This window comes from Homo sapiens, chromosome 1, assembly GCF_000001405.40.
Source record: "Homo sapiens chromosome 1, GRCh38.p14 Primary Assembly".
Taxonomy (NCBI): Eukaryota; Metazoa; Chordata; class Mammalia; order Primates; family Hominidae; genus Homo; species Homo sapiens.
Genome location: NC_000001.11, coordinates 167,842,229 through 167,858,650, shown reverse-complemented (window position 1 = coordinate 167,858,650; position 16,422 = coordinate 167,842,229). Strand labels below are relative to the sequence as shown.

The 16,422-nt window shown below is 42.5% G+C and overlaps 1 protein-coding gene across 11 annotated transcripts in view; it reads left to right on the top strand.

The window, feature by feature from the left end:
• Window positions 1-16,422, top strand: part of ADCY10 (adenylate cyclase 10) — a 104,749-nt gene that overhangs the window by 55,484 nt on the left and 32,843 nt on the right. For all 11 annotated transcript variants that reach the window (NM_001167749.3, XM_011509762.4, XM_011509763.4 and 8 more), the window contains 5 exons: window positions 2,212-2,486; window positions 4,162-4,298; window positions 10,162-10,290; window positions 12,388-12,666; window positions 12,798-13,088. In NM_001167749.3, the coding sequence (NP_001161221.1) occupies window positions 2,212-2,486; window positions 4,162-4,298; window positions 10,162-10,290; window positions 12,388-12,666; window positions 12,798-13,088 (1,111 nt within the window). The remainder of the gene's footprint in view (window positions 1-2,211; window positions 2,487-4,161; window positions 4,299-10,161; window positions 10,291-12,387; window positions 12,667-12,797; window positions 13,089-16,422) is intronic.

Genomic DNA, 16,422 nt, shown 5'->3' with positions numbered 1-16,422 from the left:
CTTCCACCAGGCTTCTGTAAGGCTGTGAACACATTTCTAGTTATACTATACACTCTATACTATTATGGCATATTGCCATTCATTACTTATATATCTGTTTCTCTCTCCCTCAGGAAATCGTGAGCCTCTTTTTTTTTTTTTTTTTTTTTTTTTGAGACAGAGTCTCGCTCTGTCGCCCAGGCTGGAGTGCAATGGTGCGGTCTCGGCTCACTGAGACCTCCACCTCCCAGGTTCAAGCGATTCTCCTGCCTCAGCCTCCCGACTAGCTGGGACTACAGGCACGCACCACCACACCTAGCTAATTTTTGTATTTTTAGTAGAAATGGGGTTTCAGTATGTTGGCCAGGCTGTTCTCAAACTCCTGACCTTGTGATCCGCCCATCTCAGCCTCCCAAAGTGCTGGGATTACAGGTGTGAGCCACCACACCTGGCCTGTGAGCTTCTTAAGAACAGAGAGTCTCTTAACATTTCCATATCACTATTGATGAGAAATGTGCCTCATAATTGTACATAATAAATGATCGATATAAGTTGGTGGCATTGTATTATATTTATAATACAGCTTTCTTCTTTTGTACTTCAGGTCATAGGCAAGACAATATCAGTAGTTTCTAAGTGTCAGGGCTTAGACTGTTTGCATCACAAGTATTTACAAGAAGCTCCTTTAAAAATATGGATTTGTGAGTTCTAACTCTAAAGATTAAAAAAGTAGGATGTGGATTGGGCCTAGGAACCTGTTTAGTTGTTTGCTTTTGTTTTAAAACTTTTCAGTTGGTGCTGAAGCAGAATCTTGTTTGGAAACTGCTACCAAAGCTGTGTTTGATTATGTACTGACAAGTCTTTGGACCATTAACTATCTGTGTGACCCTGGGCAAGTTACTTAACTTCTCTGTGCCCAAATTTTCTCAGCAAATAGATTCAATAGTACCACTTTATATGGATGTTGTGAGGATTAAGTGAGTTAATTATGTAAAGAGCATCCCGCAGTACTTGGAACATAGTAAGTATAATGTAAGTGTTGGCTTTTTTTCACTTTAAAAAGAACCCAATCCTCATTTTAGATTAGAAGAAACCAGGCCAATGTTTTATTATTGAATTCATGATTTTTTGTTCCTGCTTTATTCTCTTCAATTTATGAATAATTCATTAACAAGGCTATCCCAAGATTAAAACTTAAATTTCTATCTGCCCCATCTTTTTAAAGATACCAGTCAAACTCAAAACAATGTAGTGCTTACCTCCTCATTAATTAAACTGTTCTCAGGGCTAGTCAAAGGGCTAAGTATTTGGTGACAGAACGGGGCTGCAGGAGTAGACTTAGGTATGTGTGAACAAGGCAGGTTATAACACTTTATAATGACTGTCAAGCACAAAGAGAAAGAATGGGTTAACTCAATCTCTTCTCAGAGGGAAACAAAAAGCAGCCATTAGCAGTCTGGAGCAGTGAGAACTGGGGAGCCGGTTTTCTGCATTGTGACACCTTACACAGTGGTAAGGCAGAGCCTGCTACGTAAGTGGTTGACGCTAAAATGTAGGCTCCGTATTTTGTTTGAGACTGTATTCCCAGTACCTAGAACAGCACCTGACCCTGATAGATGCACAATAAATGCTTAATGAGTGAATAAATAATTCAGACTACTTAGGGGAGGGTAGTCTATATGAGAAAAGGGACCTGTGATCTGTTTTTTAAGTGCAACACATACCACATTTCAAGCTAGAATAGCATCGGCTGCCAGCAGGGCGAGGACTAGTTTTGTTCAGCACCTAGCCCAGGGGGTGCTCAGTAAGCATGTGCTGAATATATGCTGGTTGAATAAATGTCAAGTAGATTTCCCCAGGACAACTGTATTGTTCAATAGATTAAAATGACTCATAATTAACAAACCAGTTATTTTTATGTAATGGGCACTTCAGTTAGCTTTTGTGGGTACCCCTAAAACTCCATCTATTCTCCAAATTTGCACTATCTTTACACAAAGCTTTGACCAAGTAAGAGTCCATTCCAGCCAGCTCTGTCCAAATAGCCACAAATTCTAAGTTAATGGAATATAAATGAATGCAAAGTTACTGGAAAGAAAAGATTGAACTTAGTTCTTTCGCTGCATCATAAGCAAACCAGGAAGCTCAATGGATACATATGCATACCCATACATGTGTAAAAAAACCTGACGTCCTATGGTGTTTCTCTTTCTCTTTCTGCATCTTGTCCAGATAGTGAAAGAGGAAAGGATTATTTTTATCATTGATGAGGCCCAGTTTGTGGATTCGACCTCCTGGAGATTTATGGAGAAGCTTATCCGGACTCTTCCTATCTTCATCATTATGTCCCTGTGTCCCTTCGTTAACATTCCCTGTGCAGCTGCCAGGGCCGTAATAAAGAACAGGAACACCACCTACATTGTCATTGGTGCAGTACAGCCTAACGACATCTCCAACAAGATCTGTCTTGACCTCAATGTGAGCTGCATCTCCAAAGAACTGGACTCGTAAGTAACCTCTTTCTATTCTGAACTCTCGACATCTGCATACATTCCCTCGGTCTAGACTTCATCAGATTTCTTAGTATGTGTCTTGATGTGCCTATTTCAGTATCTTTCCTGGCCCCACCTTTTAAAAAATTTTTCTTTTCTTTTTTTCTGTTTTCTTTTGAGACAGGGTCTTACTCTGTCACCCAGGCTGAAGTGTAGTGGTGCCATCATGGCTCACTGCAGCCTTGACCTCCTGGGCTCAAGCCATCCTCCTGCCTCAGCTTTCTGAGTACCAGAACTACAGGTGTGCACCTCCGGTAAATTTTTTATTTCTGTAGAGATGGGGTCTCACAGTGTTGCCCAGGCTGATCATGAACTCCTGGGCTCAAGCAATCCTCCCATCTCAGCCTCCCAAAATGCTGGGATTACAGGTGTGAGCCACCATGCTTGGTCTGGTCCACCTTTTGAAGGAGCCATTCATAATGCTTGGTAGGATGGATGTTGCTCACCTTTTCCATGTTGCCTCCCTGTTACGCCTTCTTAAACTTTGCTTAGTGAAAAGCTCTATTTCCCTTTCATCATGGGGGGTATGGGTATACTCACTTTAACCTGCAGTGACTAAGAGCATTGTTATGGGCAAGTGACAGGAAAGGCAAACTGGTAAGCGTTAAAGACCATGACCTGCCACTAAGCAAGGTCTTACCTGGCTGGCAATGGTGTGGTCTGGTATTGGTGTTCTCTGTCTATGGCAGATGTGGAAAGCTGACTCACTGGTGAGTGCTCTCTGAGCTTTTCAGTGATTCCTCTCCTGGGGTTTTCTTTGTTTTTTGTTTGTTTGTTTGTTTGTTTGTTTTTTGTTTTTTAGACCTAGTTTCGCTCTCATTGCCCAGGCTGGAGTGCAATGGCACGATCTCGGCTCACCGCAACCTCCACCTCCCGGGTTCAAGCGATTCTTCTGCCTCAGCCTCCCGAGTAGCTGGGATTGCAGGCATGCCCCACTACGCCCAGCTAATTTTGTATTTTTAGTAGAGATGAGGTTTCTCCATATTGGTCAGGCTGGTCTTGAAATCCTGAGCTCAGATGCTCCGCCCTCCTCGGCCTCCCAAAGTGCTGGGATTACAGGCGTGAGCCACCGAGCCTGGCTCTCCTGGCGTCCTGACAGCAGTCACCTTAACAACATAGAGAATGTTTTTTCTTTAGCTGGCTGTTTACAGCCCATCTTAGTATCTGCAATGAGGTTGCCCTGCTTCTGGAAGGAAGATGTCTTGAACAAAGGCTCATTTAAGATAACTCCAGGCACCAATTTGGCACTCATTCTTTCTGTCGGTCTCTCTCTCTCTCTCCCCCTCTCTCTGTTTAAATTATATAGAACATGTATATCTTTCCAAAGCCAAAAAGGTACATCCTTAGTCTTGCTTCCCTCCCTTATCCTATAGGTAACCATTTTGATTAGTTTTTGGCTTATCCTTCCAATGTCTGTTTTAAAAACTATAAATCAAGTGTGTGCACACTTATTGTGTACACACATGAGTGAAATAAAAAGAAAACAAAGCAATGCCTCAAAACTGAAAACAAACAGAAACAAATGAAGAATGACAAGAAATTATTTTCAAGTGATTGAGAAGACTTACATATTTTTCCTTCCTAAAAGATGTATCTTCAATGTAAACAGATTGCCTTGTTTTCACTACAGGTACCTGGGGGAGGGAAGCTGTGGGATTCCATTTTACTGTGAAGAATTGCTTAAAAACCTGGAACATCATGAGGTACTCGTTTTCCAACAAACGGAGTCTGAGGAAAAGACAAATAGGACCTGGAATAACCTGTTCAGTAAGTCCTGCGGTGATGGTTCTTTCTTACTCTGTTCTGCCTAACTTAAGTCTTCATTCAGAGAAGGTAGCAAAAATGAGCTATTCCACAGGCTGCTTCCTGTAGAGTCAGAAGGTTCTGGGGAGCCAGGAATTATTGGATCCGATATTCCAGATTGTAAGCGAACTTAACATTGCCTGGGACTCACTGGACTCGGCTAAAGATTGTCTAACTATGGCCGGGCGCGGTGGCTCACGCCTAAATCTCAGCACTTTCGGAGCCCGAGGCAGGCAGATCACTTGAGGTCAGGAGTTCAAGACCAGCCTGGCCAACATGGTGAAACCCCATCTGTACTAAAAATACAAAAATTAGCCAGGTGTGGTGGTGGGTGCTTGTAATCCCAGCTACTCGGGAGGCTGAGGCAGGAGTATCTCTTGAGCCTGGGAGGTGGAGGTTGAAGTGAGCTGAGATTGCACCACTGCACTCCAGCCTGGGCAACAGAGTGAGACTCTGTCTCAAAAAAAAAAAAAAAAAAAAAAAAAAGTAACTATAGTAGAAATGAAAGAACATTGACAAATCTTAAGGCCCAGAACTGAAGGGCCGCTTTGATGTTATCTTCAAAAAGCCTTTCCTTTTTTGCCAGAGGTAAAATTGCTAGTACGAAGTGAGTTATCAACAAAGATCCCGTGCTACACAGATATATACAGGGATGAAATCTGAAGTGATGGCATGAAGGAGGCCAGTTGGAATTTTTAGGAAAATAATTTTATTGCAGGGAAAAGGGTGGGGGCCAGAGATTACAAGTTGGAAAGCAGAGAATTAAGGCTAGATAGAGCAGGCTTTAATTGGGACTTTTTTTGTTTCCACTCCCTTGGTGTTTCTGAGTTGCTAGATTCTTAAGCTCTAAGTCTTGAACATGTGAGGCAAAAAGAAAGCCCTGCCATGGGACCCACTGCCACGTTTTTCCTTGGGTCCTAAGGTCCCTAGCTGGTCTGACTTCTTTCCACCTTCAATGTCATCTTCTGTTTGTTTTACACATAACGTCTAGGGGTTTTAACTATATTTAGCAGGAGGAATAGGGAAAAACATACCAACTCTCTCTTCCTGGAATTGGAAGCCTCTTCATTTTTTTGTGACTCAAATTAAGTAATACGATGATTTAACAGCTATAAGCACGACGTGTATTAATATTACTAAACCTAGAGGGTCAAAACGTATTCCTCTGCGACTAAATTTAAAGACAAGAATATAGGTGTGAGATCAGTGTCATGATGAGGTGAATACGGTGCAATAAAGGACTTATGGTGCTGCTGTCTCTATGTAGCAGGATAGAAAATCACCACCTAAAGGTGACAATGAGGGAAATTTCATAAAAAAGATTCCTCTTGCTTCCTAAAAACCCCTGCCTCCTGGGTGAATGAATGATGCTCAGATGTCCCTATCCATGTTTCAGTCTGTGCTGCATCTGTTGCCTCTCACTTCTTGTTCAATAGCATGACTACAGGACCATGTGGCCCCCAAGGGCACATCTGTAGGAGAAATGAGACAGATGGTTGTCTGAGAGAACAGGGCAAAGCTCTACCTTTTTTTTTTTTAAGGAACAAGAAACATTAGCTTGCTTTTTAAGGAAAGATCAATTTTTTTTTTCTTTCTGGATGATTGTGATGAAAAAATGGAGAAGACTTTCTCTGGCCAAATTAGTTTTAAAGATGATAGTGGATCATTAAATAGATAATGACTGCTATGATTATTATTTTTAGACTAAATAATTCCATTATAATAATATTAAGATGCCAATGGATTAAAGGAAAGCGATATGTAAATATAAATACTGCAGAGTAAATACTATTTCTAAATTTTATACATTTGTTTACTTTGTTTACTTGTTCAATAAATGTTTATGTAGTATCCGTTATGAGCTTTTTTTTTTGAGACAGAGTCTCACTCTGTCGCCCAGGCTGGGGTGCAGTGGAACGATCTCGGCTCACTGCAATCTCCGTCTCCTGCGCTCAAGCAGTTCTCCTGCCTCAGCCTCCCATGTAGCAAGGATTACAGGCATGCACCACTACCGCCCAGCTAATTTTCATATTTTTAGTAGAGACAGGGTTTTGCCATGTTGGCCAGGCTGGTCTTGAACTCCTGACCTCAAGTGATCTGCCCGCCTCGGGCTCCCAAAATGCTGGGTTTACAGGTGTGAGCCACTGCACCTGGCCCTGTTATGAGCTTTTTAAAACACAATCAGGTGTCTTCTCTATTTAAAACCCTTCAGTGTCTTTTGTGTCTTAATTTTAAAAAACTGAAATTAAGGAGAGATTCTGGTTACATAATATTGTGAATGCACTACAGGCCGCTGAATTGTATACTTTAAAATAATTAATTGCATGTTAGGTGAATTTCACTTCAATTAAAAAAATAAATATGATACATAATCCTGGACTGGATCCTATACTGGAAGAAAAGAGAATGTTAAAGGATATTATTTGATCAATTCACAAAATTGGGATATGGACAGTAGACTAAAGTATTGTATCAATGTTAAATTTCTTTTTTTTTTTTTTTGAGACACTCTGTCGCCCAGGCTGGAGTGCAGTGGCACGATCTTGGCTCACTGCAGCCTCCGCCTCCTGGGTTCAAGCAATTCTCTGCCTCAGCCTCCCGAGTATCTGGGATTACAGGCAACTGCCACCATGCCTGACTAATTTTTTTTGCATTTTTAGTAGAGACGGGGTTTCACCACCTTGGCCAGGCTGGTCTTGAACTCCTGAACTTGTGATCCACCCACCTCGGCCTCCCAAAATGCTGGGATTACAGGCGTGAGCCACTGTGCCCGACCAATGTTAAGTTTCTTGAAGGTGATAACTATATTCTAGTTATATGAGAGAGTGTTGGCCAGGTGCAGTGGCCCACACCTATAATCCCAGTACTTTGGGAGTCTGAGGCGGGCGGATTGCTTGAGCCCAGGAGTTTGAGACCTTCCTGGGCAACATGACAAAACCCCATCTCTACTAAAAATACAAAAATTAGCCGGGTGTGGTGTCGCACGCCTGTAGTCCCAGCTACCTGGGAGGCTGAGGTGGGAGGATTGCTTGAGCCAGGGAGGTTGAGGCTGCAGCAAGCTATGATCACAACTCTCCACTCCAGCCTGGGCAACAGGAGTGAGACCCTGTCTCAAAAAAACAAAACAAACAAACAAACAAAAGAGTGTCAATATTTTTAGAAAATACAGAGTAAAGTATTTGGGAGTATAGGGTGTGATGTATGTGACTTATATTCAAATGCTTCAGAAAAATATGTACACATAGAAGGAACCTAGGATATAGTAAATAGGGCAAAGGCTGACAACAGGCGAACCTGAGTAGGGAGTACATTCTGTCTATCACCCTTTTATTTCTTTCACATAATTGAATTACGAGATTATCCTTTTAATGTATTTATCTATTGTTTAATGTTTGTTTCCCACTAGAATGTGAGCTTCATGAGGCATGGAGTTTTGTGCTCTCCTGAATCCCCAATCCTAGGAAAATTCCTAGCACCTAGAGGCAATCAGTTAATACTGGTTGAGTGATGGAAAGAATGGTTGTCTCAATGCTAGGTCCTGGAAGGGGAAATAAGCATAAAATAGCATGGACCACGTCATATCCTTGAGCCCCACTCTCCTACTCCCAACACACACACACACACACACACACACACACACACACACACACACACGGCCCCCTTTTTGGTATGCTATCCTCCCTTGGCTTTCCTGACCCCACACTCCTCCTGTTCCCCTCTCTGACCAGTCCTCAGATAATCCTTGGCTCTCTACCTGGGTCTACTCCTCCTGGGACATTCTTCAAGTTCTATCCTTAACCCTTTCCTCTTGCTAGCTTGCCAGAATTGGAAACAACTCTCTCCCCAGTTGTTTTCATTTACTCATCTATTTCTCAGCCTTCGTGTGTGTCGAACCCTAACCTCACCCTTAATTCCACACCCATATTTCCAATTGCCCATTGAACTATTCCACAGATTCCCTTAAACTTAATAAATCTAAAACTTCATGCATTATCCTCCCGCTCAACCACCCCTCCTTCTGTACTTCGTGTCTCTGTCACTTCTATCACTGTCTTGCTTAGGCCCCATTTCCTCCATATCTTTAGTATTTGCTTTCTCCTTGCTGAACCACTTGCCTGGTTCTATCCATCCTCACTTCTTGACATTCCATTGTTATAGCTCCTTACATAGTCTTCCCTGTCCTAGTCTCTCGCCTTTTCCATATGCTGCTTCCAGTGGTACCTTCCTAAATACGACTAGTTGGATTACTACTATCTCCTCTTCAGAAATCTGTGACCTTTCCCTCTTGTCTATAAAGTCCAGTCTTCATATTATGGTGTTTAATGCCCTCCATGCTCTGCTCCCAAACTAGCTCTCCAAACACGTCTCCCACATAGCACCTGAGCACTCCAGGCCCTGCACTTTAGTCACGCTGGGCCGCTCCATTCCCCTAACTCGCTAAGTACTCTGAGGTTCCTGTGCCTTCGCGTTGGCCTCTCCTCCACTTGCCGCTTAGAATATCTCTTCATCCTTCAAGGATCAAAGTACTTCCTCCCCTATCAAGCCTTTCTGAATCCACCAAGTCTGATTTAATTGTTATTTTCTGTTCCCACAACATGTTACTCTTTGCTCTTTAGCTCTTAAGTCACCCATCCTGATGTTATAATTAGTTACTTATGTATCTGTCTCCACAGATTTTTAAGCCTCTTGAGGGCTGGAAGCATGTGTTATTCACATTGATAGCCTTCACTGGATATGATGCACAGAAAGTCCTTAATAAATATGTCCTGTATTGATGTGAACTCTGGTGCTTACTGTATGTGCCCAATCACATGGCACTCATCTACTGCCTGGCAGTCCAGCTCTTAGTGTACATGACTTAGAGCTCCAGGAAATAAGGAACTTGGTTTTATTCACCTTCCTATTTCCACCTCACCTAGCACAGTCTTGCCGCTACCAAGGACTACATGAATGGCTGAAGGGATAGAAAAATAATGCATTTTGGAGTACTAGGAAACCAAATTACTAGGCACATTTACTATTCAAACTTCACCATTTAAAATATCTCTGATAGTAGCTATGTCCTAATTAGAGTACAGTGCCTCACAGAATGTGTTTGTAACTGAGTGTGGGTATGTAAATGTATACATACAAATATATGTTTATGTATATATATAATAATACATTCTGATATACATTATGTATATACATAATACATATATAATACATTCTGATAATCTGACTGTGAATCAAACGTTTGTAAAGCCTTATATCCTATGGAAGACATCAATAGTGCCAATTCTTTTGGTTGGGCAGGGTTGGCAGAGGGAGACAAAACATTTTTGAGTACATCTAGATTTTCATGAATCAGTTTTACTTAGAATAAGGTTTCCAGCGGCCTGGTGCAGTGTGGCTCATACCTGTAATCCCAGCACTTTGGGAGGCCGAGGCAGGCAGATCACTTGAGGTCAGGAGTTTGAGAACAGCCTGGCCAACATGGTGAAACCTCATCTCTACAGAAATTAGCCAGGCATGGTAGTGGGCGGCTGTAATCCCAGCTACTTGGGAGGCTGAGGCAGGAATCGCTTGAACCTGGGAGGCGGAGGTTGCAGTGAGCAAAGATCACGCCACTGCACTCCAGCCTGGGCGACAGTGAGAGACTCCACCTCAAAAAAACAAAAAACAAAACAAAACAAAACAAAAAAAAGGTTTCCAGAATATTTGGTGAGCCAATATACATCTCTGCCCAGTCTTCCTCATATGAGATCCATCTCAAAGTTCATTGGAAAATCAGACCTTATAAGACAGGATAATGACTCAACTTTTCTTCCCTTTTATACCCCTGTAGAGTATTCCATTAAGCTAACAGAGAAGTTAAACATGGTTACTCTCCATAGTGATAAGGAAAGTGAAGAAGTCTGTCACCTCACAAGTGGTGTCAGACTGAAAAACCTGTCACCTCCAACGTCATTAAAAGGTAAGAAAATCTGGCCGGGCGCAGTGGCTCACGCCTGTAATCCCAGCACTTTGGGAGGCCGAGGCGGGCGGATCACAAGGTCAGGAGTTTGAGACCAGCCTGGCCAATATGGTGAAACCCCGTATCTACTAAAAATACAAAAAAATTAGCCAGGCACACACCTGTAATCCCAGCTACTCGGGAAGCTGAGGCAGGAGAATTGCTTGAACCTGGGAGGCGGAGGTTGCAGTGAGCCACTGCACTCCAGCCTGGGTGACAGAGTGAGACTCCATCTCAAAAAAAAAAAGAAAAGAAAATCTGACCTGGTATTTATTTTCTAGTCCCTAAACTCCACTTTGGCTTTCTCTAGGATGTCTGTTTTTAAAAGGAAAAAGAAAAACAGCAACATTGGTTGTTTGTCTGTTTGCTCTGTACTGCCTGAAGCAGTGAGAAGGCTCAGGGTAGGCTTGGCTTTGCTCCTAAGAGCCATCTTTCCCCCTGTGTATATTCTGGGATCTGCATAAAAGAATGAAATATTGTACATTTTCAATTAAACAGAAACCAAATAATGAGGGAGAAAATCTAATACTGAGATACTTCCTGTCATCCACTTTTATGAGAAAGAAATGACAAACGAGTTTATATGAAAGACATATTATTGGCCAGGCACAGTGGCTTACTCCTGTAATCCCAGCATTTTGGGAGGCCAAGTCGGGTGGATCACTTGAGGTCAGAAGTTCTAGAGACCAGCCTGACCAACATGGAGAAACCCCGTCTCTACTAAAAATACAAAAAAAAATTAGCCGGGCATGGTGGCGCATGCATGTAATCCCAGCTACTGAGGAGACTGAGGCAGGAGAATTGCTTGAACCCAGGAGGCGGAGGTTGCAGTGAGCCGAGATCACGCCATTGCACTCCAGCCTGGGCAACAAGAGAAAAACTCTGTCTCAAAAAAGAAAGAAAGAAAGAAAGAAAGATGTATTATTATTCTTTTAAAGAAAAATGACTTTCAAGGAATGTTTTAGTATGAACTCAGCTCCAATTCATGCCATCCATAAGCAACTTTCAATGTTTAGAAAGGTGGCCTAGGGACATCTCAAGGTCCTCAGTCTTCAAAAGAGTGCCATTTATGTTTCGTTAGCTGTGTCTACTAATGTAAGAAGGCAGTAGCTCACACCTGTAATCCCAGCACTTTGGGAGGCCGAGGCAGGTGGATCACCTGAGGTCAGGAGTTCGAGACCAGCCTGGTCAACATGGTGAAATCCCATCTCTCCTACAAACACAAAAAATTAGCCGGGCATGGTGGTGGGTGCCTATAATCCCAGCTACTCAAGAGGCTGAGGCAGGAGAATCTCTTGAACCCAGGAGGCGGAGGTTGCAGTGAGCCGAGATCAGCCATTGCACTCCAGCTTGGGCAACAAGAGTGAGACTCCATCTCAAAAAAAAAAAAAGAGGATGGACTAGCTTAGTTTCTACTGTGTTTTTTGGGCAAGTTGAGAAATTCTAATTTTGTCCCTAACAGAAGGACATCCTGGTCAAAATGTCCAGAAAGTCACATGAGCTACCGATATTCAAGCTTAGATGAAAAGTTGGGATAGGAGCTGTGAACTCTCTGACACTTGGTCATGACACAGAGATGATAATGTATGTCATGAGAATACATAAATTTCTAGGGCAGATAGAGAGAAACCAGGAGTTTCTAGGAGAAAGGGGAGGCAGAGAAGAAGATACAAAAGGACCAGCTGAGGAAGTCAACAAAGCACAGGAATGGCAGGGCCTGCTCCTTCTGACAATAGTGATTACAATGTCCTCTCCTCTCCTCACACACACTTGTCACACTTTAGCACAAAATCAGAACACCATGAAATAGATCTTAATTTTGTCAGGTCATTGTGCTGTGTGTCTTTCTAGGCCATAAGCCTGCATCTTTAGTACTCCCAGCACAAGTGCTATCCACAAATTAGGTACTAAACAAATACTTCTTTTGACTTAGCTTGGCTGAGTTTCTTGCAACAAGAACTGTAGAGCAGGATGGTTGTCCACCTGCTCTATATTAAATACAGCATATTAGATAAAGATAAATAACTAGTTTTCTACTGTGTGGCCTTCTACCTGCAGAAATCTCTCTGATCCAGCTGGATAGCATGAGACTTTCCCACCAAATGCTGGTGAGATGTGCTGCCATCATTGGCCTGACCTTCACCACTGAGTTGTTGTTTGAGATTCTCCCCTGTTGGAATATGAAGATGATGATCAAGACCCTGGCAACCCTAGTGGAATCTAACATTTTTTATTGTTTCCGGAATGGCAAGGAGCTTCAAAAGGCCCTGAAACAGAATGATCCCTCATTTGAGGTGCACTATCGTTCCTTGTCTCTGAAGCCCAGTGAAGGGATGGGTGAGTAGCACCTGGAGTGACCCAATTTCCTCTTAAGGACCCATCTAGATCAAAGAATTGACCTATGTTAGGTAGAAGGGGCTGATCTGTTGCCCACTGCCTGGCTGAAAAACCCTTTTTGCTCTCTCCAGATCACGGTGAAGAGGAACAGCTTCGTGAACTGGAGAATGAGGTGATCGAGTGCCACAGGATTCGATTCTGTAACCCTATGATGCAGAAAACAGCCTACGAGCTGTGGCTCAAGGACCAGAGAAAAGCCATGCACTTGAAATGTGCCCGCTTTTTAGAAGAAGATGCCCACAGATGTGACCACTGCCGAGGCAGGGACTTCATTCCCTATCATCACTTCACAGTGAATATTCGGCTCAACGCTTTAGACATGGATGCCATTAAAAAGATGGCTATGTCTCATGGATTTAAAAGTAACCTACTTCATTTTAAAATTATCCTAACTGTTCTTGGGAAATCTAGAGACTAAGATCTAGAAGGAGTGGGTGTGGATCTTGAGGGCTTCAAGTCTCATAAGCGGCTTGGGCACAAAGAATGATGAGACTTCAGCAGCCTAGGCCAATGGGGAAGAGAAAAGTAAGGGAATGTACCTGTATTGAGTCTAGCGAACCAATCTCACTATAACTGTCAGGGAGGGTTTGGGGATAGGGGCTCTGGCAAAATGGGATGTGACCAGAACTCAAACTAAAATATCCCACTTAATTCACACCAAAGGATGGAATCCAAAGGGGGGTACAATCTGACATGATGACATGGTGTTTCTTGGCAGATAAGAATATTATTGCTTTGTTGGTCTAGTTTGAAACAGGTTCCAGTGGGTAAAGAACATGACTGAGAGAGAATTAGCCAGGGCTAAGCAGGTCAGGGCTCCAGAAAACAGGGCTTGGTTTCAGGGCAAGAATTCAAGACCATCGGAGAAGCAAAAGTTAAAAAGTTACAAGCCAATAATACCAACCAGCCATGTGATCTGAGAAAACATAGCAGAGGATTCAGGGGGTGTAAGGACCCAAAGACTCAGTCACTATGGGCATGATGGGTGTCAGACACAGAGCAACACCACCAATTCTAGCCCCCATTCATGGTGGCCAGGGAGCTCCTAATGGGCTGCCTACTCTAGTCAGAGGACCTTGGTGATTATGGCTAAATCTGGTTGGGAAATCAGAGGCTACAAGTAGAGGACTCCTATATTATAAGGATATTAAAAATCAGGAAGAAATGTATCTAAACTGCCTAGTACATAGCAGGTGCAAAATAAACTTTTTTTTCTCATTCGTTCTCCATTTCATGTGCCTTCTCAGTGGATCCTCATATTAACCCTTTAAGGTTGATGAGGGTTGTTTTCATTGTATAGATTTTTTAAATTGTGGTTCTGGAAGCTTAAGTAACTTACCCAATACCACAGAATGAGTGACAGGCTTTATTCAATCTGCCATCAGTCTAATTCCTAAGTTCATCCTCTGCTCATTATACCTGAGCTCCCCCAAATGTGGGGTTGGATTTTAGGTAATACTTGCCAGAAGATAGGAAGTTCGTAGACACAGCATGAAGTAGAAATCAAGAGAATGAGAAAGTTGCAGCTTTGCACAGTGGGACGAGCATGTTGTTGAAACTGCACTAACACTAGTCCATCTCCCTTTTTGGAAAACAGGAATCAGGCTGTAGGTTCAGAGCCTTAGGATCTGGACCATGAAGATTTTTAGTCCTCTGAGAGCTTGAGTACAAAGAGGATAAGACTTCAGCAATAGTCTCATCTGCACTGGGCAGGGAAGATGTCAGGGGAATGTACACCTACCTGAGTCTAGTTCTATTACTAGCATTTATTAAATTCTCTCTTGTTTGTTATATTTTTACAAAATTGGTAATATTATTATCACAAAAGTGGTATGTGTGTAATATTATGTTGAAATTGAAATTTGTGCCAGAGCACCAAGATACAACTAATGCTGCAATTCAAACTGAGGCAGTGGATATACAGAATTACAAAAGAAATAGCTGAGAATCAATTATAATCTTGGATCCTTCGCCCAGACCTAAGACATAGAAATGAGGAAGAGGATGTAGAGGGTCAGGATTTGTGAAGAGATCTCTTTGGTGAGAACTGATGAGGTGCTGTGTGCCCTCCTCAAGTGGGTTGTTTACTTCATCACCTCAAGCCTGGTGAGGTGTCTTCCTTAGAATCAGAGGACATAGAACACTGGGGCCTGCCTCATGCCTAAGAAGGCTGAAGTGGCCTGTGGCTGCATTGGGATCAAGCTGCCATCCCAGACTGTGGGAAAGGATGTGTGAGGGTTTCTCATGGATCAGATAAAACCCACCTGGGAGAAACAGCCAGTCTGGAACCATTTTAAGTTCTTCCCAGGGTGCCCTTGGGAGGGTAACAAGACCCTTGGGTGTGGACTGCTAGAATGAGACAGGGATAAGGGGGACAGACTGGAGCACCGAGAAGATGCGCTGCCTGAATTAAGGAAGCTTTAGTGAAGGATCCCACACAGGGCCCTATTCAAAGAACCAATGAAAGTATCAGTAGGAGATGAAATGATGGAAAGAGATGAGGGAAAGGGGAAAGAAGAATATTTGACTGTGCGGGGTCAGTGAGTCATACATATACACACACACATACACATGTACACACACATACATATACATAGATGCATTTTTTGGTAGATTGATGTTTTATTTTGGGGGATAAAATAAGCTAAAATACACTGACAGCTAGAATATAGGTCAGTTTGAGCAGCTGGCCTTGAGCAGGTTGACTAGTGTCATCAAAGCAAACAATTTCAGTTATTTGCAGATTTTCCAATCAACTGGCAGTTCAGCTCTGGAACATATATGACCAAATGTCTCTGAATAATGTCTGCTGGTATCCCTTCCATCAGCACCTCCACCTGAGTGAGGCCACAGCTCTACTATTTCTCTTATCAGAATTTTTCACCTGTTCAGAAGGCTATCGACTCGACAAACTTTAGAGACTTTGTAAATTCCCTAAATGTCGTATCACAAAACAGTAATCCCATGGCCGACCGTCCCACACACCTTCAGTAATTCCAGTCAGGGGCAAACATTTTTAATTTAGCTGTTCTTTCTAGTCATTACCTCCATATACTAAATGGTATATTAACATTGCTTTTACTGATTTTTAAGAAAATCAAATTCTGACATCTGTTTTCTGGCTATGGCAGATGAGGATTTAACTCTGTTACACCACTCCTCGGCCCCTCTCCCCTATATTGTCATATAACTGGCATTAGATAAGCCAATGAAGTGTTTACATTATTAAGACTATGTAAATGTTGTCCATTACAAACCAAGTAATATACTGTGAATAGATTTCTTAACAAATGTTTATTTTCCCTAGGGTTACTAGGAAACGTTTTTTTTTTTGCAGTGTCTTCCTTAAAATATCCTGCTTTAATCTATCCTAGACAGATAGATACTCTGTCTATCCTTTATCCCTGAACCTCCCAAAGTGTGGAGTATAACCTTTAGGCAATACTGGTCAAGGACATAATTGGGACCAAGTGTGGTGGCTCACGCTTGTAATCCCAGCACTTTGGGAAGCTGAGGTGGAAGGATCACTTGAAGCCAGGTTCAAGCCAGGGCTGGTTCAAGACCAGCCTGGACAACAAACTGAGACTCTGTCTCTACAAAAAACTAAAAATAAGAAAATTAGCCAGGTATGATGGCACACATCTATAGTCCCAGTTTCTCAGGAAGTTGAGGTGGGAGGATCTCTTGAGCCCAGGA